This window comes from Homo sapiens, chromosome 12 (genome assembly GCF_000001405.40).
Source record: "Homo sapiens chromosome 12, GRCh38.p14 Primary Assembly".
NCBI classification, from domain to species: Eukaryota; Metazoa; Chordata; class Mammalia; order Primates; family Hominidae; genus Homo; species Homo sapiens.
This window is the reverse complement of record NC_000012.12, coordinates 100,878,969-100,902,502: the sequence shown is the minus strand read 5'-3', so window position 1 is coordinate 100,902,502 and position 23,534 is coordinate 100,878,969. Positions and strand designations below refer to the sequence as shown.

Sequence of the window (23,534 nt, the reverse complement as noted above, 5' to 3'; positions counted from 1 at the left end):
CCTTGGTCACTGATATTTCCTTGAACCCAAAACAATGCCTAGCATGTAGCTGGCACTCAATACATATTTGTTCAATGAATGAATGAATACTTAAATGAGCTTTTCCCCCAAATAAGCACATAAGATGTTTTTACTTCATTTAATGTAGAATCATTTTAATATTTTAAAGAGATCACAGATGCTTCCCAGAAGACTTAAAACAATATAATATAATGACTCCAGTCTTCTCTCCTGATCTCAGGAGGATGTGGGCAAGCCAACACAGATAACCTAGGTTTCAAAGTGGGTGTTTTTTGGCTTGAATTTTTTTCCTGACCAATCTTAGAGCAAATTATCAGGAAAATGACCAAATCTCTATGTTGTTTTATTATATAATGAGCTTTCCTGAACTGAGCAAGAGTTTATGCACTCTGATTTTCATTTAGATTCTACCACTGTGCACATAGCCTCAACCTTCTCTGAACCACCAAGCTCTCTCCCCTCTTATTCGTCTTGGTGATATTTACCATTGACTGAGGTGAGCAGAAGGGGAAATAGAACAAGACTCCTAACAAAAGCAAGCTTAGCTGAAAGTATGGCATATTTACACAATAAAAATATAATGCAGACTGTGGTCAGGTTGCTACTGAAATGGGTCCCCGTTGAACTTCCCCATGCATCACCTGGGTGGAAGACTTTGGTTTTTCCATTAGTGATTCCAGAAGAGCTTGCCTCCATTTTTATTGACCTTCTGCCTGGTGGGAGTGAGGAATGCCTGACCACAGGCAGGCGACGACGTGACGCTGGGCGGCTTGCCACACTTCGCCGTTGATGGATTTGCAAACGCTTTTCAGCCCCATGAATAGATAAACTTAAACCTGGAATGAGAAATGGCACCATTAGACTGAAGAAGTCACTTCAGAATGGCTAAAAGGCTGTTACGCTCTCATATGAAGTCCAGAGAACAGAAGCAACCATGTTTCAAATTCTTAAGGTATGCATCACTCAAAAGTAGACATCCTTAGTTACCAAGACAAGACTTTTATGAATCAGGATCCAATCAGTCAAATCTGAAAATTCTTATAAAAATTCCTTCCAAAATGCTGGGAAAATGTGCACATATTTGACATGCTGTTGCCAAAGCAGTAGGGCTTAGGAACTACTGTTGGGGTATCTGGAATTTCAATAAAAATCAAGAACTTTCTCCACAAGATTCACAGATAGGCCAAAGTTGTTGGCTAAACTCACATTTACACTCTTGATAACCTTAGAATTATATGCATCTTGAGAACTATTTTATTTGGAAATATTTCAAACATACCAAAAGCAAAATGAATAGTATAATGAACTCCATGTACTCATCAACCAGTGTCAACAAATATCAAGATTTTTCCAATTTTTTTTCATCGATCCCACTCCCTTTGTTGTTGATTTGCTTTTTAGATGCTGGAGTATTTAAAGCAAATTCCAGACATCATGTCAATCTCCTCAAAAGTAGAATTGATTACATCAGCCTATATAGATTACATCATTAATATGGACTCCATCTACTGATGCATATCAACTGTATAAAGAAAGGCTGAGTTCAATGTGTATCTTTTTAAAACACTCATTGTTCACCATTGGAGGTTCCTAAGATACCAATTCGTTACTCAGAAGATTAATAAAGGGAATAAAGCAAGCATTTATCCTGCCTTTACTAGCCATTTTTTATTAGTTGATGAGGGAAAATTCTTCACTACAGAAGAATTCTTGCTAAGAAACACCGATAAGAAAGAGAATTAAAAATTATTTTGGATTTTTTGGTTTTCTGTCCCTGTGATAGTTTGCTGAGAATGATGGTTTCCAGCTTCATCCATGTCCCTATAAAGGACATGAACTCATCCTTTTTTATGGCTGCATAGTATTCCGTGGTGTATATGTTCCACATTTTCTTAATCCAGTCTATCATTGACGGACAGAAAAACCCAAACACTGCATGTTCTCACTCATAGGTGGGAACTGAACAATGAGAACACTTGGACACAGGAAGGGGAACATCACACACTGGGGCCTGTCATGGGGTAGGGGGAGGGGGGAGGGATAGCATTAGGAGATACCTAATGTAAATGACGAGTTAATGAGTGCAGCACACCAACATGGCACATGTATACATATGTAACAAACCTGCACGTTGTGCACATGTACCCTAGAACTCAAAGTATAATAAAAATAAATAAATAAGTAAGTAAATAAAAAGAGAAAGAAGGAGGGAGGGTGGGAGAGGGAGAGAGAGAGAAGGAAGTAGGGAGAAAAGAAAGGAGGGAAGGAGAGAAAGAGAGAGAGAGAAAGGCTGGAAGTAGGCTGGATGTTACTATTCCTGACACCTGTAATATTAGTATTTCTGGGCTTGAAATTCTTTTTTATGCAAATCCTTCTTTCTTTCTGAGTGAGAACTGTACTTTTTAATAAAAATTGTGTAACTGTAAGGATTACATTAGATAGTACATGTGAAACATTCAGAAAAGTAGCCACAGGTATGTCTTAAGTATTGGAATCAGAGTGCGTAGGTTTGAATCACAACCTCTTCCTTTACTGGCCAGGTATTTCTAGGCAAGTTCATTAGCCTCTGAGTCTCAGGTTTCTTTATATGTAAATGGGATATAAAACAGTATCTACCTTATAATGTTGTTGTATGCATTAAAATGGATATTGAACATTAAAAAAATGGAATGTAAAAAAAATTATTTTAAAGCTACAATAAGAAGTCTACTAAAAACCCAGAAACAGGGAAAATAACAAGTCTGCTAAGAGGTAAACTGCAAAATCACCAATCATAGGTCATGTCAAAGGTAAGAAGGGTCACCTTAAATTTTCCCAGGGGAAAAAGAGGATATGACCTGGGCCAATTTGTAAACTCTAGCAAATCTTAAGGAAGGATGACTCAAATCAGATTAGGGCTTGTTAAGCCAGGAAATCATTAAAACAAACTGTAACAAATATAGGCAGCACTCATCTAAGAAACAGACTAAGTTCAAGAATTCCAGTTGCACCGCCAGACAGTCCTGACATATGGTTTTACTCTCCTTTATCCATTTAACTGCCCTCATTCCAACAGTGCTCACCGGATAACCTATGGATTAGGATTGGGCTTCCAGTACAGGAAGAGAGTTTTCACGCTAGTGTTCCTGTCTACCTGGCAGCTAGGGTTCTCAGTGTGAGCTAACAGATGGACATCCTGGGCTTTCACACATCTACCTCCACATGAATTGCTTGGTATGAGTCTGCCCCCAAGATGTTGTTTCTAAGCCCACAATGCTGTGAGCCTAAGCCTTGGTCTCAGGAGATTCACCCAGGTTAGGACTGTCAGGCTGGGTGGCCCCGTAGGAGATAGGCTGGCAGGCTGCCCCCAGGCACTCTGATGCTCAGGTGCCTAGGCAAGTATGAGCCTTCTACTCCCAGAGGTCTCTCTCTATAAGTAGGACAGACACCACAGCATCAACCACACATGCATCATCCACATCATGGTGGAGTGATTTTCTTCCACTCCACCATGCTCTGTGCCACTGGTGCATGTTCCCTGTTTCCACGGAGGTACAAACTGAACCATCTGTAGACCCATCAAGACTCCAGAAGAATGCAAACAGCTTTGTGGATGACAGATGAAGGGAAGGGGAGAGACATTTTAAGTCAACATCAGATGATACATGCACTCTCAGTCTGCAAATATGAAATAGACTGCTCTCCTGAAAAAATTTCTTCTTTTCCTTTTTGCAGAGGCTTATTGGGCTGAGGGGAACAGGATTCTGACTCAGCACAGCACTTTTAGCTTTTATATAACTTTTCTGAAGGAAGCACAAAATGACGTAAATGAGAATAGAAATTGTATCATGGAAATAAATGGCATTTTTTTAAAATATATAACTTGAAATTGTGTTTTTAAAATATAATAATGTAGATCATAGCAAAAAATGTTAAAAATAAAAAATAATTCAAGAATATTACCAGGAGAAGATAGGTATGAGGAAAGTGGGTATGTTACATGGAAATTTGGAAGGAATCTTTAATGCCTGAGAAAAATCCATGTTCTTCCTCTAGGAATTAAGGGTCCTCAAAGTACAGATAAAGGGCCTAGCCTAAAAGAGCTCTCCTCACACAAGGGCTAAGTCAATGGGAGAAAGAGATTTGTAAATAAATAGCTAGTATGCAAGATAGAAAATATACTCTGGGCATTTGAAAATGTTAACATTTATAGAACATTCTGAAGTCACATCTTTAGAAATGAATTGTCAGCCAATAAATTACATCATCCAATTTGTTCTTAGTCTAAAAAAAAATTGTTGACACTATCTATTAAATGTCAGGCACCACACTCGATATTGATCATTATCCCATTAATGTATCATCACAACCATAAGAGCCTGAGAATTGGTATCTATGTTTTACAAATGGGAAATCTGAGGCTCGAGAAGTTACTTGACCAAGGTCACACAACAAAGTGATTAACTGATATTTTAACCTTGCCTTTTTCCACTATACCATGCAGTCTAATGGATTCAATACCAATATAAACACTCATTGTTTTAAGCCTGCAGTGGTTCTGAATAGTAACTTAACAGAAAGCTATCCTGGGTGGGGGACAGATTGGAAGCCCAGAATGTTGAGAGTCCTTTGGCCTAAGCTCTTAAAGAACCATCTGTTTCTCCCCTCTCCCATGCTTGGCCCATGGCATCGTCCAGGCTGAAATGTCCTCCTGATTCTTGATCAGCTGTCAAAGACCTTAGTAAGAACTATCTAGAGCTGTACCTTCCCCTTGACACATTTCAGTTCCTCTGACCCACTCCAGTCTCTAGTCTTGCAATTAGCCCTTATCATGTAATGCCCTTGAACTCTCATTCATCTGCCAGTACATGGATGGTCCATTTCTCAAACGTTCAAGAGTTTCTAATGACAAAGGTCATATTGTGCAGTTTTCGGATTCCTTCTTCGTCTCTGAACAAAGTACTTTCCATAGGGCAGGTGTGGGGCGATGATGCCCCTTCAGTCCCTTTTCCTTCTGCACTTGGCACGCTACATGGTGCAGACATCTTGGGCACAGATGGCACAGTGCCAAAAGCCAGTCAAGGAAATAACACTGAGCATGCTTCACTGTGCAGCAAGTTTTTCATTTAGTGCTTCCTGTTTTATTGTATCCTCACTGTCTTTCCTAGGCTCCCTGAGGTCAGAAACTTAGCTGCCTCCCTCAGCCTCATCAGATAGCCTCCTCTCCAACTCAGCTGAGAAGATGGGGTCCAGGTGATATAAAGTTCCTAATCTTCCTCCTTTCAACCTCAAATAATCATTACAAAAATACCTTTTCCTCTTGAGACACATCATCTACCTTACTTGATAAAAGACCCAAAGTCAGAACCTTGGGAAACACACACCTTGGGGGATAAGGTGAGGTTAGTACAAAGTAGTGGCTAAAATGTGGATGCTGTAGCCAGAATTCTGGGCTCAAATCTTGGCCACACCATTTACCACCTATGTTACTTAATGCATTTATTTAAATTTTTGCCTCAGTTTTTTCACCTGTAAAATGGGGTAACAATAATTCATACCTGATAGGGTTTTGTGAGAATTGAGTTTATATCTGCAGAGTGCTTATGGCAATGTCCAGCATAATGGGTGCTCAGTACAAGTTAGCTGCCATCATTAGCTTCTATCATATCAATGATTCTCCTCAATCTTCATTTTTACCCATTAGGCTTTAGGCTCTAGCGTTTATACCATTGCCTCTGCTCATCTGTTTTTAAACTCTTGCTTTGGCTTTCGTTTTCATGACACTTAAGCTTCTTGCTACCTCCCCTTACTTTTTTAAACTCTTTCTGTTCCTGTTCCCAAAGGTGGGTATATTAGTTCCCAAAGCCCAATTTAACAAATTACCACAACCAGGATGAGTTCAAACAAGATTTTATCATCTCACAGTTCTGAAGGCCAGGTGTCTCTCACCATGGTGTCGGCAGGGCTCTGTGTCACTGCTGTATGTTCCCTGTTTCCACAGAAGTGCAAACTGAACACCTGTAGGCCAATCAAGACTCCAGAAAGGTAGACAGAAGCTCTGGGGAGAATCCATTCCTTGCCTCCTTCAGCTTCTCACGGGCGCCAGCATTCCTTGGTGTTCCTCGCCTTGTGACAACATCACTCCAATCTCTATCTCTGTGATTATATCACCTTCTCAGTGTTTGTGTCTAATCTCCCTCTGCCTCTCTCTTATAAGGACGCTGGTTGTGACATTTAGGGATCACCTGGATAATGGAGGATAATCTCCCTATCTCAAGATTCCTAAGTAAACCACATATGCAAAGACTCTTTTCAAACAAGGTAACACTTGCAGGTTCTGGGAATTAGAATGTGGACAGATATTTGGGAGCCATTATCAGCCCACCACAGTGGGCATTTTCCAAAGTTTTGATTTTGGCCTTTTCTTCTCTCCATCCTGTCCATCCTTGGGGATGTTATGCACTCCTTATCTCCATCTGTAATCTCTGTGTGATCAGCTCCCCATGTCATGCCTCCCACTTTACTCTGTCTCCTAAACATCAAGCCTATGTTTCCTGCTTGGTCTGAGTTTTCTCAAGAGACACTTGATGAGTATACGGGAACACAATAAATGACTAATATTTTAATAAATAAAAATCAAAGGCCAGGCACAGTGGCTCACACCTATAATCCCAGCACTTTGGGAGGCCAAGGCGGGTGGATCATCTGAGGTCAGGAGTTTGAGGCCAGCCTGGCCAACATGGTGAAACCCCATCTCTGCTAAAAATACAAAAATTAGCTGGGCATGGTGGTGGGTGCCTGTCATCCCAACTACTCGGGAGACTGAGACAGGAGAATCGCTTGAACCCAAGAGGCGGAGGTTTCAGTGAGCTGAGATAGCACCACTGCACTCCAGCCTGGGCAACAAAGAGCAAAACTCTGTCTCAAAAAAAAAAAAAAAACAAAGCTCAGATTTTCTTTAAGGCTCTCAAATATTTTCTTTACTCCTCAAAAATCCTACCGAAAAAGTGAAAATTTTTCTGAATAACATAAAATTCTTAGGTGTTCTTTCTCTCTGGCCCACTTCCAAGGTGTGCTATTTCTGGCTTCACTGCACAGTTAGCAGTGTGCCTATGTAAAAATGATTTGCTTTCATCCAAATGTCATTTCTGTGATTCAGAAGGACTCTATGCCACAGGAACATTTGTCGTTCTGTCAATGTTTTACAACTCACAGCAATGCTGTCTATGTGTTGCATTACTCTTCTTGTCATTTCTTAGGTAAATTACTTTTCAAAACACTGAAAAACTATGTTTTGAATGTCACCACCACACACAAAACATAAGACTCATCTATTCTTAATTAAAAAAAAAAACCTGTAGAAGGGAATATTTATTTCGAGTTTCCTCTTTAACTGCAAAGTGGAGGGTAAATCCAGTGCTTCGCCTTCCTGGAACATTGACCAGAAGGAAGGTGGGAACTCTCTTGGTTACTCTCAGGTCTGAATTTACTTTTCCAAACTTTCTGGAGCTTTTCTTTTTCTTTTTTTTTTTTTTTTGAGATGGAGTCTCGCTCTGTCGCCCAGGCTGGAGTGCAGTGGCGGGATCTCGGCTCACTGCAAGCTCCGCCTCCCGGGTTCACGCCATTCTCCTGCCTCAGCCTCCCAAGTAGCTGGGACTACAGGCGCCCGCCACCACGCCCGGCTAATTTTTTGTATTTTTAGTAGAGACGGGGTTTCACCGTTTTAGCCGGGATGGTCTCAATCTCCTGACCTCGTGATCCGCCCGCCTCGGCCTCCCAAAGTTTTCTGGAGCTTTTCTAATATCCTCTCTTATTTGACTCAAAGGACACTTGACAAAATGTTTATAAAATAGACTGATACCCTCCCACATCCAAGGGAGGAAAAAGCTCAAACACGTAGGTATACATGCGGAAGAGGTAGCACCTCATGTGTCATTAGCTTAGGTATGTTCCCATAAGAGGGGGCAGAATTTGTGCTATCTTAGTTAAGCGAGCTCAGGTGGACCCACAGAAAACAGGTTTGGAGGGGCTTTGAGCATCAGAATTGGTGGGTAACTGAAAGTAGGTGCATTTCTGAGAGTAGTATGAGTTCTAACCCACGTAGGACCGCCCCCGCTCCCCCCAACCACCGAACCCAGAGACCTGAAGATAGGTTGTTGCTTAGTCTCAGTAGGGCTGATGAGAGGATTTGCTACTGCCCAACCATCCTCCACCACACCAGGTCCTTGGCCCTGTCATGCCTCCTTTTATTTCTCTTCTCACTTAGTGTCAGGCTATTTGACAGATTAGCATCAGCATGTCACAAAAATCTGGCAGTAGCAACACATCAAAACCAGGAAGAACTTTCTGCCAAGGTGCTGTCCTTTGTAATTCTGTTACAATTATGTCTAAAGCCACGTTAACTGAGCGTTTAAGCGCATTGAAAAGAAACCAACATGCTAAGGACTAGATATAATATTTTCTAGATCTAACCTTTGGCTCAATATCTACATGAAGAATTTATAGATCAGAAAGGGTAAGAGCCTGTAAGAATGTTTGACCAGCGTTACTTAAATTCAAATAAAGTGCTGCAGTTAGATTATTGGTGCTTTCTCTCCTTCAAATCCTCCTTTAGATTCTTTACAGGCTTTTTGTAACTTCTTTCTTTCCTGTTGCTGAGGCTGAGTGAGAATCTCCCTTTTAATCCCCCTGCGACCAAATTCTATCAGGACTTCATTTCAGGAAACCACAGTGGCAGAGTAGATTATTGCCCCTGATTCGTAATTCATAACTTCTCTCTGCCATGTGACTTGTTAGTACTTCCCAATAGAGAGAGAAGGTATATTCCCTGCTCCATTGGTTTTGGACTTGGCCATCATGACTTGCTTTAGTCAAAGGGATGTTAGCAAACAGATGAAAGCAGAAATGTGCTTGTGTGGTTTAGGCTTGGTCTCTTTTGCTTCTGCTATTATCATAAAAAGCACATGTCCCGACTAGCCATGGGTCCCAGAAGGAGACACTAAGAACAAACTCAAACCTGATCTGCAACCTGGACCAAGCCTTACTTAAACCAGCCAATATCAGGCAAACAACAGCTGCCTGAAAAAACTCTGAACAAAAAGACAAATGTTTCTGGGTGTGAACCACTGAGATTTGGGTTTGTTGGTTCATAGAAAAAACTTGATGAACACACCTCCAATAATGGTCTCCATAAGGTGAAAATGAAACAGTGCTGGTGCTCACAGTTTGGTCCTAAGTAGTGAGTTCATGAAAAAAAAAAAAATCCTCCTTCTTGCCTGAAATGCTCTCTTTCATAGCCCTAATCCAATATATTCTCCTAAGATCAGCTCATTCACCACCCTTCTGAAGAAACCCCATTATTCCCAACCCCTAACTCTACCAAGCATCCCCAGAACCCTCAGCTCACATGTCCCTCCCCTGCACTCTGTTAGCACCTGGTACATAACTACACCAAGACCTACCCAACTGCACTGTGATTGTCTATATATATGTCCCCTGAATGTGGGGCCAGGACTGTGTCTTATTTCATGCCTATCACAATGCCTAGCTCACAGTAGACATTAATGTAAATAGTTCTAGAAAGAAACGGAGGGTGCCGGGGGTGGCAGGGAGCCGGCAGGACAGGTATCAAACAAAGTACAGACGGCCCTCCTTATCTGCAGTTCCCATGTCTGTGGAATAAACCAACCTCGGATAGAAAATATTCAGAAAAAAAAAAACTACAATTAAAACAATAATAAAGGAAAATAAATTTTAAAATACAGTATAACAACTATTTACATATCATTTACATTGTACTGGGTATTATAAGTAATCTAGAGATTATTTAAAGTATATGGAAGGATGCACATAGGTAATATGTAAATACTTTGCTATTTCATGTAAGGGACTTGAACATTTTGGTATCTGGGGAAGGGAGGGAGGTGGTTATCCAGGAACTAATCTTTCTAGGGATACCTAAGGAAGACTACAGGTAACTAAACTCAAATATTCTCAAATGCCAGACTTCTGTTACGTTGATTTTGTCTGGAGAGTGTTCAGTCCCTGGGAGATTAGCTAAGACCTTGGAAGAGGGGGTGAGTAAGGGAAAGTGGTCATTGAAGACAACCTTGAATAGCTTAGCCTTCCCACTCTCCTTTCCTCAACCCTACTAGCCCATCTACAGTGAAAACAACCTGAGATTTTTTTTAATTCATAAAGAGTGATTTAAAACTCTTTAAATGTTGTAGTATATAGCCAAAGGAGATGAAAGTAGTACGTCCAACAGCTATCAGTACTCCTGTGGTCACTGCAACTTTAGACACAATAGCCAAAACACAGCCATAATATGGAATCTAAGTATCTATCAATGGAAAAATTGACAGAGAAAATGTGTGGTGGATATATTCAAAGACATTCTATTCAACCTTAAAAAGAAAAACAAGGAAAATCCTGTCATTTGCAATAATATGGATGAACCTGGAGGACATTAAGTAAAATAAGCCAGGCACAGGAAGACAAACTCCACATGATCTCAGTTATTTGTGGAATTTTGAACTCATAAGTACCAGAGAGTAGAATGGCGGTTACCAAAAGCTGGGGGGTGGAGCTCAGTTGTGGAGATGTTGGTCAAAGGATACAAAATTTCATTTAGACAGGAGAAATAAGTTCTGGGGATCTATTATACAAAATAGTGGGTATACTTAATAATAATGTATTGTATTCTTAAAAATCACTAACAGAGTAATTTTAAGCATTCTCACCATAAAAATTGACAAGTATGTGATATAACATATGTATTAATTGCATTGATTTAGCTATCCCACAATGTATACACATTTCAAAACTTTATGTTATAAATGATAAACATATACAATTTTTATTTGTTAATTGAAAATAAGTACATAAATAAAATATTAAAATAAAAATAAATCTTAAAAAATAATGTAGATGTCATTGGGTAATTAATTGCAAATTAAAACAACGAGATACCACTCCACATCTATTAGAATAGTGAAAGTCAAAAACACCAACAACATCAAATGATGGCAAGAATACAGTGCGACAGGAACCTTCATTCACTGCTGGTGGAAATACAAAATGGTATGGCCACTTTGGAAGACAGTTTGGCAGTTTCTCACAAAACTCAACTTACTCTCACCATACAATCCAGCAATCATGCACCTTGGTATTTACCCAAGTGAGATGAAAACTTATGTTCCCACAGAAACCTGCGCATGAATGTTTACAGCAGTTTTATTCATAATTGCCAAAACTTGGAAACAACCAAGATGTCCTTCAGTAGGTAAACTGACAAATAAACTGTGATACATTCAGACAATGGAATATTATTAAGCATTAAAACAAAACAAACTGTCAAGCCATGAAAAGACATGTGGGAACCTTAACTGTCCATTTACTTACCTTAAATGTTCAAGAACCATTACTAAGTGAAAGAAGCCAGTCTGAAAAGGCTACATATTACATAGTTCCAACTACATGGCATTCTAGAAAAGGCAAAACTATGGAGACAGTAAAAAGATCAGTGGTTGCCACGAGGAAAGAAGAAAGGAGGGAGAAATAGGCAGAGCACAAGGGATTTTTAGGGCAATAAAACTACTCTGTTTAATGCTATAATGGTGCATACATATTGTAATAAATTTGTCAAAACCCACAGAATGTACAACACCAACAGTGAACGCTAATACACACTATGGACTCTGGGTGATGATGTGTCAATGTAGGTTCATCAATTGTAATAATTGTACCACTCTGGTGTGGGAAGGTCATAATAGAGGAGGCTATGCACATGTAGGGGCAGGAGATACACAAGGAATGTCTGTATTTTGCAGTCAATTTTGCTGTGAACCTAAAACTGCTCTAAAAAATACAGGCTATTAAAAAAGATGCTCTTCACTGCTGGTAACATAAGAAAATGGGGGCTCTCAGACATGGCTATCTCACCATTCGCAATCAGATCATTTGACAAAACTAAAAATTTCATACCCATATAAGGTTTCTCTCACAGATATTTAATATGTTTCAAATTGCAACTAAATGTTATTTCTTACTACTTAAAAATAGGATCATCTCTTTGGACCCAAGAATTCTACTTCTAGGAAGTTATCTCAAGAAAATGATAAGACATACTAACAGTTACGTAAGAAAATGTTCCATTCAAAATTTTTATTAAATAGGGAAGCAATAGAGAGATGGACTTTTGTGTTGAATGGATATTCGTGCATATTCTGGGTCTATCTTGTAGTAGCTGTGGAACTTCTGATGAGTTATGATTGAGTTACTACGTGAGCTTCAATTTCCTCTTTTACAAAATGGGAGTTTAAATTCATACTTCAAATATTCATAATAAGGGCTAAAAAAAGTATATGTTTTCACACAGCATGGTGCCTGACATACTCAATAAATAGTACTTAGTATCATAATTATAATTAATACTGACATAACTATAATAATTATGATTATAGTAATATTAGAAACTAGAAAAATAACTGTTAATAGGGCAATAGTTAAATATATTATGGTCCACTGATAGGTTAGAATGCCACCTAGCAAACATGTTGGTGAAAAATGGATTTATGATATGAAAAATTCATTTATTCTTCAAATTAATTTATTCTTCCATTTATTTATTCAGTCAGTCCTTATTGTCTTTCTCATTTGAACACTGATTTATGAGGATATAGAACATTAAGTGTTGAACTAGTTTACATCCCACCAACAGTGTAAAAGTGTTCCTATTTCTCCACATCCTCTCCAGCACCTGTTGTTTCCTGACTTTTTAATGATTGCCATTCTAACTGGTGTGAGATGGTATCTCATTGTGGTTTTGATTTGCATTTCTCTGATGGCCAGTGATGATGAGCATTTTTTCATGTGTCTGTTGGCTGCATAAATGTCTTCTTTTGAGAAGTGTCTGCTCATATCCTTTGTCCACTATTCGAGGGGGTTGTTTTTTTCTTGTAAATTTGTTTGAGTTCATTGTAGATTCTGGATATTAGCCCTTTGTCAGATGAGTAGTAAACTAGTTCAACCATTGTGGAAGTCAGTGTGGCGATTCCTCAGGGATCTAGAACTAGAAATACCACTTGACCCAGCCATCCCATTACTGGGTATATACCCAAAGGACTATAAATCATGCTGCTATAAAGACACATGCACACATATGTTTACTGCGGCACTATTCACAATAGCAAAGACTTGGAACCAACCTAAATGTCCGACAATGATATACTGGATTAAGAAAATGTGGCACATATACACCATGGAATACTATGCAGCCATAAAAAATGATGAGATCATGTCCTTTGTAGGGACATGGATGAAATCGGAAATCATCATTCTCAGTAAACTATCGCAAGGACAAAAAACCAAACACCACATGTTCTCACTCATAGATGAGAATTGAACAATGAGAACACATGGACACAGGAAGGGGAACATCACACTCTGGGGACTGTTGTGGGGTGGGGGGAGGGGGGAGGGATAGCATTAGGAGATATACCTAATGCTAAATGACGAGTTAATGGGTGCAGCACAGCAGCATGGCACATGCATACATATGTAACAAACCTGCACATTGTGCACATGTACCCTAAAACTTGAAGTATAATAATAATAATAATAAAAATAAGAGACTACCTATAAAAAGAAAAAAAAGAACATTAAGTGTTAAGGCTGAAAGGGATGAATTTCCAAGGTGTTCATTTCCCCCAGTCTGGGCCTCGTTTTCCTCATTTGTAAACTGAAAGGCTGGAGATGGTCCCTGTGCTGGTGACGTTTTGTGGGCCTCCACCTACTTCAAATCCATTCTCCACCTGTTCTGTGTCCTGGGAAGGTGACTCCTTCATCACCTGGGCTCCCTCACAGGCCTCCAGTTGGCCTCAGCCAATGGAGGCACAAGAAGGAGCTAAAGGTTGGGAGGAAAAACAGGCTGAGTTACTTCTTCCCTGCTCCCTTCCTGTGTGAATACTTGTGAGGGCCCTAGCCATTTGGAAAGCCCTCTGCAAGGTCTACTCCTATTGGGTAGCCCCTTTCCCAGGGCTCCTGCTCTTGCGCGGCTCCAATATTGCCCTTGCCTCTTGAGGCATGTTTTATAAAGGCTCCTCACCCTTGCTAGACCCTGGGTGCTTCACCATCTCTTGTCAATTTCCATAACCCAGCCTCTCCTTTGTAACATCTTTATTAAAATCTGTTTGTTTGTTGGAATTCTGATTCCTAACTGAACCCTCACTGTGAGAGTCTTGAAAATCCACCCCTTTCCATTTTAACACTTAATGTTTCTACATCCTATAAATCAACTGGAACATACTGAAAACCTCCTTGTAAGGTTCTCAAATACATCACATTTGCTACCGTTTACTTTTATTTCCCAAGATTTTCTCATTTTGTGTCAATTTGGGTCATCTTTTTTTCCCTCCCTGCTCTGAATGCCAATCTAAATCCTGAATTTCTCACTTTGTCTCACCCTGTGATACTTAATTTATCTTAAACCTTTACATTCTCACTCAGGGAAATACTTAGGAAGCAGATATTTATTTCCGGTCACCTCACAAAAGTTTAAGGGTTTTCCTTGTGTTCTGTGGACTTAGGCACAACGTAGCCCACCCTTGACCTCCCACAGCTAGACATAAACTCTATATCATCACAACAGGAAATTCTCCCAAGTGATATTTAAGGATGTGAACTAGATAGAAGTAGGCAATTGTAAGTTTATAGTTTAAAAGTAATACCTTGGGGAAAAGGTTCTTTCTGAGATCTTCAATTATTTATTGACTTATTCATTTAATAAATATTTGTCAAGAGCTTTCTCTGTGCCAAACACTGAGGATTCAGAAATTAAAAGACAGAGTCCTTGCACTCATGAGCTCACTGTCTGACAGAGGCATTCCCCAGTACTAAAGCAGCAAAGGCAAGGACAGCTAATGCACTTCGCAGGAGGACATGACATCAATACTTCTTGGGTTTTAGAAAGAAAAAAAAAAAAGAAAGAAACCCAGGGTCATTTGGTTTCTCCTTTAGGAGCAAGAGAGGAATCTCTGGTTTTCCTAAAACAAATTTAACTATTTGGCATTTTTCATAAGAGAGTAGCATGGTCAAATATTATCATACCCTAGGCAGTCAACAAAAATAGCTGAGTAGGAACTAGATATCTACCTCACATGGTGAAACCCATGCATAATGAAAAAGTATACTCTGCAATCCTAAATTTCAGTGGACCACTTATTAAATGAGATCACCAAGTGAGCTGCTTAAATGGCTTAGGAATATTATTTCTTAAGATCCTTGGACTCAATTTTGCAGCTTATCTTGGCAGTCAAAAAAGCGCTTCTCGAAGTGAAACATGAAATGGTTTACTACCAGAAACATCAAATGATAAGCACTAACCCCCTAAAGGGAACACTGCTTTATATAAGATTTTTGTCACTTAGCCAAGTGAGCAAAATGTAGTTTAAAAAATTTTTTTACAGGCAATCTATTGTCCCCAACAACTACTGAGCCCTACCCCTGCTAGGCCCAAGGATAGAAACAAGGATGAAAAAGGCAGAATCTATGTCTACAAGAGGAGATCGTTCTTGCCAGGAAAAAAGTTGTGCAGAAGTGACTCTAACAGAAGGAGATGTCAAAGATGCACAAGGTAGACTATGTAATCTCTGAGGGGAGAAAGGGGTCAGCATGTTTTTTTCTGTAAAGAGCCAGAGCATAATTTATTTTGGGCTTTGTGGGCCATATGGTCTCTGTTGCAGCTACTCAACTCTGCTACTGTAGACCCAAAAGCAGCCACAGACAATACATAAACGAATGAGTGTGACTGAGTTCTAATAAAACTTATAAAACTAAGCAATAGGCTGGATTTGGCCTGTGGGCTGTAGTTTGCTGACCTCTGACTTACACGGTTCAGGGAAAGGCTACCAGGGAAGGCTTCACAAAGAGAGTGGTGGGTATTGTCACTAAGCCTCATTGCTGGGTAGATTTCTCATAGGCAGAGATGGAGGAGAAGAGCACGCCCCCCATGGTGAAGGTTCAGGTATGAAAGAACAAGGCTCATTCATGAAAGGAAAAGATGTCCTGTTTCAAGCATGTTTAAGATGCGTGAGCAGTGACTGGTTGTTGAGACTGAAAGCAACGATCTTCACAACATACTTTTGTATGAAATTTTTAAATTTTTAGGGAATTCCTGAAGAAAACTCACTTATATGCTACACTGGATGTAGTCTCCATGCTAAGACAGCGGGGAATCACTTAAGATGCTGGAGCAAGGTGGAAGGGAGGGGCGGGTCTGGGGGTGGGGGTTGCATAATCAGAGCAAAGGTTTAAGAATACTGTTCTACTTCAACTGGGGCAACAAATCAGGGTAACGGTCATAGAAGCCTGGATCAGAGCAGTGGAAGTGGGGACACAAATAGATTAAAAGATAGTTTGAAAGTAGAGTCTTTAGTATTTGATAACTTTTTTGATGTTTAGTGGTAAATGAGAGGGAAAGAATAAAAATTGACTTCGGATCTAAAGACAGTAATAGAAATAAGAACACGGATGGAATATTTCGGTAGGCAAGATGTTAAGTTCAGCTTTGTGGCTCCCCTGGGACATCCAAACAAAAATGTTCACCTAGTACTGCCAGAAATAAAGGTATAGAGCTTGGAAATGCGTCCAGCTGGAGTTCTTTGCCTAGGGATGAATGCTAAAGCTTTGAGAGAAGCTGCAACTTCCGAAGAAAATACAAGAAATCACAGATAAAATCTTGAGGGAATTTCTACCAGCACCCAAAAGGAGAGTAACCAAATTCACAGCAACAATGGTTAGCATGTATTGATGGTTTACTATGTCTCAGGCATTGTTCTAAGAGTGATGAATATATTAATGCATGTAATCACCACATCAATCATATGTAGTCCAGGCACATTCTTTATCCTCCTTTTACAGATGAGAAAACTGAGTTACAGAGATATTGCATAACTTACCAAAGGTCATGTTTATGAGGCACAGCCTAGCTTTGAACCCAGACAGCCTGGCCAGCAATACTGCTCTCAGCAGAAGAAGGTCCACTGGACTGCATGCTAAAGGAAGGTCAGAGAAATTGAGAACTGAGAAGAACAAGGTTTAAAGTGGACTGAGACAAAAATGGGTGTCAGGACACAAGAAGCTGAAACATAAGAAGATGGGCTGGTAAACAGAGGAAGCGCCGACAGTGAATCCAATACACTGAATGTCGGTTGTGTGGTAGACAGAATGATGGCTCTGCTAAAATGCCCAACTCTTCATCTCTGGAACCTGTGAATATGTCACCTTACATGGGACTAACAGGGACTTTGCAGATTTAAGGACTTTGAAATGGAGGGGTTATCCTGGGATATCCAAAAGGAAGGGGGGCAATCTAATCACATAAGACCTCAAAAACAGAGAACCTTTGGTGGCTTGGATCAGAGAGACATTATGTTGCTGGCTTCAAACATGAAAGAGGGACCATGAGTCTAGGGATGTGGCAGCCCTAGGAGCTGGAAAAGGCACCGAGGCTGGGTATGGTGGCTCATGCCTGTAATCCCAGTATTCTGGGAGGCCAAGGCGGGCGGATCACCTGAGGTCAGGAGTTCAAGACCAGCCTGGACAACATGGTGAAACCCCACCTCTACTACAAATACTAAAAATAGCTGGGCATGGTTGCGCATGCCTGTAATCCCAGCTACTCGGGGGGCTGAGGCGGGAGAATCGCTTGAATGCGGGAGGCAGAGATTACAGTGAGCTGAGATCGCACCACTGCACTCCAGCCTGGGTGATAGAGCGAGATTCCATCCCAAAAAACAAAGGCCATAAAACAGATTCTCCCCTAGAGTCTCCAGAAAGACAGAAGGAACACAGCCCAGCTAATACTTTGATTTTGGCCCAGTGAGACCTGCACCAGACATCTAACTCACAGAAATGTAAGATAAATTGGTGACATTTTAAGGCACTGAGTGTGTGGTAATTTGTTACAGAAGCAATAAAAAACTAATACAGGTCCCCACCTCTCCTTAATCTAATCAATATTCTCAAAAATGCCCCTGGTCCATCAGCTTAACCCAGGTCACAGCCACTGATAGGCCTTCCCCAAAGTCAGCACAGCCTCCAAGGCAGTGGTCATGGGGGGCCCTGTGGAGGAGGGAGACTGTGAAGCTGCCCTGTCTGAATTTCCTTAATCGATATTTAATTTCCTTAACTGACCATAAGACAAATGTTAATTCAGAGAAGCCTAAAAATTTATCAAAACTTCACAATGCAAGCCACTAATTATTTACTGACTACAGTTCTATGCTAACAATGGTGCAATTAGATCTTTAGCCATATAATGTGCCTCTATAGACAGTTGGTTTAACAAATGTTTGAAAAACAGAAACAACATGACATTAAATTGCATGAACTTTGAAATGGAACTTTTTAATCAAATCTACAATGATTAATTCATAGAACCCATATATGTTATTTATGTGATTTGAGTTATAAAGCTGATCTTGACTAATTTCAGCACTGACTTAATTACATTTCTGATATGGTTAATAATTAATGAAAATCCCTCCAGAGGACAACCGTTGTATTTTAAGGCCCATTTGAAATGCCTTAAAATATTTAAAAATTGTGTTCCATTTTCCCCATTTAAAATAATTTACCCCCTACTTATTTAGCAAAAGGATTTGAGATAGCTCAAAACAAGGCACATATCCACGTTTTCATTCTATATGATCTTTTTTAAAAGTTGTTTTGTCAACATTGCTTCCTACTGCTGAAAGTCTGTCCTTAAAGTCAAATTTCAATATATTGAGTCAAGTAGCAGATAGTAATGTGAATAGTGTAAGCCTACACTATCACATTTTGCCAGTACCTAATTTAGTAAATGTGGAACAGCAAGATCAGGACTCATTAAAAATGAGGAGGGAAGGAAAAAATAAACATGTCATTACTATTGCTTTTATGCACGTACAAGAGGCCACTTATCCCAAAACCCATTGGCATTAAATACTTTATCAGTAGGCTATCTCTCTCTTAGATTAGAGGTCAGTAAGCAATGGCTTCTGGGCCATCTGGCCTACCATCTGTTTTTGTAAATAAAGTTTTATTGAAACACAGATACATTTGTTTACTATCATCTATGGCTGCTTTTGCACTTTAACAGAGTTAAACAGTCATGACAGAGACCTTATGGCCCTTAAGGCTGAAAATATTTACTATCTGATCTTTAAAGAAGTTCTCCTACTTCACTCTTAGATCAATAGGTGCTAAGGTATTTGGAAAACATTGCTCAGATAATTGGAGCTACTGAAGTAAACTCTCTCTCAAATGTTTTACGGACTGTATTTGCTGTTTGAAATTTTAGAGCTTACTGGCCTGAAATTCATAGACTTTTGTACTTATCTCCTCTTGTTTTATTTTATAAGACATGGCAAGATACTTGTGTCGCAGCTTGGCTTTTCCATAAACGATTGTGGTAGTTAGGAGCACAATAGGGAATCAACAAAGAGCATAAACAGAGCTCCAGCTGGGTGCGGTGGCTCACACCTGTAATCCCAGCAATTTGGGAGGCCAAGACGGACAGATCACCTGAGGTCAGGAGTTCAAGACCAGCCTGGCCAACATGGAGAAACCTCGTCTCTACTAAAAAATACAAAACTTAGCCAGGCACAGTGGCGGGTGCCTATAATCCTAGCTACTCAGGAGGCTGAGGAAGGGAGAACTGCTTGAACCCGGGAGGCAGAGGTTGCAGAGAGCCAAGATCATGCCACTGCACTCCAGCCTGGGGAACAGAGAGAGACTCTGTCTCAAAAACAAACAAACAAAAAAACAAAAAACAAACAAAAAAAACAGAGTTCCAGAAGACTGCCAAAGGCTCACATCATCTAGTGGGTGGAGCTATAATCATCTTACATCATTCATGGACACAAAACTGAACTGGATGTAGGGTAATAATAGCTCATACTGAGATATCATCGTTAAAAATATGAACTCAGGAGCCAGACTGCAAGAGTTCAAGTCCTGCCTCCACTACTACCAACTATGTGTTTTTAATTAACCTCTAGAGGTCTCAGTTTTCTTATCTACGAAATAGAGATGATGATATCATCTACCTCATAGGATAGAACAGATTTGGGCATATAGCAAAGGCCATAAAAGATGCTGGTTATTCACAATTATGTATTAACAGTGTTATTATTGAGAAACGTTAATGGTTCAGAGTGTAGGCTCTGAAATTGGCCTATGTAGCTCGACAAGTATTCTGGTTCCACCCCGTTCAAGTTGTGTGACTTGGGACAAGTACGTAACTTGATCTAATTATGAGATTAATAGTAACATTTACCCCACAGGGTTGGTTTGAAGATTCCATGAGTTAATACATTTACTAATGCCTAGCACAGAGTAGCAATAAGTAACTCAATAAACATTAGATATTTTTAATATTATCTGTATTGGTATTATTATCATTAACATTTTTGTTGTTGTGCATCAGGCCTGATGCTCCACACTATGAGGTCAGTATTCTTGTCAATACCACTTTTAGAATAAAGCAATTTAGGCACAGGGTGGTTAAGTAACTGGTTCCATGCATTGAATTCTTAAGTGATGGAACTGAAATCTGAGCCTTTCTAAAGGCAGAATTAGGAGACCTTTGGGCCTGTATCACAAGAGAAGCAAATTTCTTCAAGGAAAACAGGCTGATTAAGAAACAGTGTTATGTATTAAATAACAGTTTCCATGACAACTGCTTTTCTCTCTTTTACATAATTGTGTTTGATTATAAAAACTCTACAAGTAGAGAATGTTAAGAGTTGGGAGAAAGCTCACTGATCGTCTGCTCCAACACCCTCATTTTCCAGATGAGGAAACTGAGGTTGAGAACAGTGCAATGACTGGCTCAAGATCACACAACAATTTCGGCAGCAGAGTAAAAACTAAACTCAGATCTGGCCTCAACCAGATACCATCACAATCCATGGCTAAGGCTTAATGGAAAAACCTAAATGAAAATCCTGTTACATTATGGCTTATTTGTTATCCAATAGTGGAGAATTTGAGAAGCAAATGCTTGGAGCATATTCTTTTTTTTTTTTTTCCTAAAGATAAAAACAGTTTTATTATAATGTTAATGTTAAAATTCAGAATATGAATATGCATTTGTATTATAATATAAAGGAATGGGTTTTTTTCTTCTTCCATTTCTTCCTGCCTTTCTTCTTTTTTTATTTTATTTTATTATTATTATACTTTAAGTTTTAGGGTACATGTGCACAACGTGCAGGTTTGTTACATATGTATACATGTGCCATGTTGGTGTGCTGTACCCATTAACTCGTCATTTAGCATTAGGTATATCTCCTAATGCTATCCCTCCCGCCTCCCCCCACCCCAAAACAGTCCCTGGTGTGTGATGTTCCCCTTCCTGTGTCCATGTAGGGACATGGATGAAACTGGAAACCATCATACTCAGCAAACTATCGCAAGGACAAAAAACCAAACACCGCATGTTCTCACTCATAGGTGGGAATTGAGCTTGGAGCATATTCTATAAATAAACTCTGAAGGACAGGCATCTATGTTCACAAAATCTGGCCCCTTTTAAGAGTACACTAGATGAAAATATGCATTGTTGTGGGGATACAAAGAGGGGGATTTTAGAGCCAATGGTCCATGCATAGATATCTTCAAAGATCAGACAGACTAAATACTCTCATAGCGCAAAGACCTGGCTAAAAGTTACATTCGCCATATAGACATCTTTTACTGAGGTCTTGCATATGGGCAACAACAGTGAGCACCTAGTGGCAGTGACCTTAACTTGCCCTCCTCACATAATCAAATCATCAGGAAGACAATGATCAAGCCATTAAAAAACATATGAAAGGCAGAAGCAGTGATTCATGCTGCTGTTTGGATTTAAAGTGAGAATGAAGTTCTAATCCTTGTGATTGTATTATTGTATAAATTAACTTTGGAGCATTACAACACTATATTTTCTGCGTTGTAATATAATATAGTGATTAAGAACAGATTCTGCAGCCAGACCCTCTGAGTTAAAGTCTGGACTTGCTCGGTGACCTTGAATGAGGCACCTCTACGCTTCAATCTCCTCATCTGTCAAATGAGGATAAAGACAATATCTACCTTATAAGTTATTAAGAAGATGAAATGCTTAGAAAGGCACCTGTCTCTAACAAATGCTCAATAAATATTAGCCATTGCTATTACTACCACTGCTATTACTGAGACATGACCTATAGAATTTAACTTCAGCCTTCTAGAGAAGCTCAGATACCAGTCAGTATTTCCTGTTTTGAGATGTTCTTCAAACTCTGACCTCTAATAACCTCCCAGAATCATCCCTGTTTCTCAATTCTGTCCATACCTCCTTCCCCTATGTTACCCACTTCTTCCTATAGCCATGCTAAACTACCCCTACAATGTGTACTGTGCTATATCACAGCTCCAAGAACATGTGTGTGCCATCTTCTCTAACTGGAGTGTGTTCTAATACCCTCAAACCCTGGTCCACTTTAACAAATCCCATTCCTCTTTCAATAGCTCAACCCTCATCATCCTGGAGTGTCTTCCCCAACTCCCGAGCAGATGAGGTTCTCCTCCCTGTGAACTTCAGTGAAATTTTACATACTTCTATTATAACCTGTATCCCATTACTTTGTAATTGCCTATACAAATAAAACTACTCCTCTGGAATGTGTTCTTTCATTAATATAAACCAAGTTTCTGACACTTAGAAGGCATTCAATAAATTCCTGTGGAAGGATGACAAAAAAGGGTGATTGGAGGAGCCAATTAACAGTTGTTGGATGCCTACCATGTCCCTATCATTTTGCCTGATGCTAGGAATACAAGATAAACTAGAAGTGGTTGCTGCCTTCATTTCTGCTGGTTGGCAAAAACGTCTGTGTATCTTTCTCTAAAGAATAAATAGAATACTTCACTTTTAATTCATCTAGTATTTATTAAGCATTTACAATGCACTGGGCTAGGTGCTGAAATAGATGCAAAAGAGGAAGATCTGCTCTCAACCCTGAGGGTCTCCCAATTTTACAGAGAAACAACAATTAGATTTACAAATTCTAATCCAATCCCTAATCCCCAAATGAAACTGGAGCCAATAGTTATCCAAAGTCATCTTCTCCATTAGTGGAAGTTGAATCTAACCTCCACACTGCTTAATTTCTTGTTCCTTTACCTAGAACATGATTTCCACTTGGAGAGAAATTATATAAAATAAAAAAGCTAAATTGAGTGCATAATAATACACCTAATATTCACACCACAAACATGTTCCAATGGCTTGCTTCACTGTCAGAAACTTTAATAGTGCTAGCAATTTTAGAAAGTGAGATTCATGGTAATAAATTCAAACACACTGATATCAAGCAAGCTCCTTTTCCCCACTGTGGGTCCATTCCTTTATTCATTTAACACTCTTTCCTGTATTAGGTACCCCAATATAGAGATAAAAGACAAACATCTCCCCTCCAGGGGCATAAAATCCTGCCTCATTTGTGTTACAGAAATAAAACACC

At 39.6% G+C, this 23,534-nt stretch overlaps 1 protein-coding gene across 15 annotated transcripts in view; it reads right to left on the bottom strand.

Moving 5' to 3' along the window:
• ANO4 (anoctamin 4) overlaps window positions 1-23,534 on the bottom strand; it is a 411,381-nt gene that overhangs the window by 226,139 nt on the left and 161,708 nt on the right. For 14 of the 15 annotated variants that reach the window (XM_011537912.3, XM_011537911.3, XM_047428302.1 and 11 more), the window contains one exon: window positions 663-857. In XM_011537912.3, the coding sequence (XP_011536214.2) occupies window positions 663-857 (195 nt within the window). Of the gene's footprint in view, window positions 1-662; window positions 858-16,958; window positions 17,050-23,534 lie in introns of those variants that run through there. The other variant, XM_011537916.3, reaches the window with a different exon arrangement.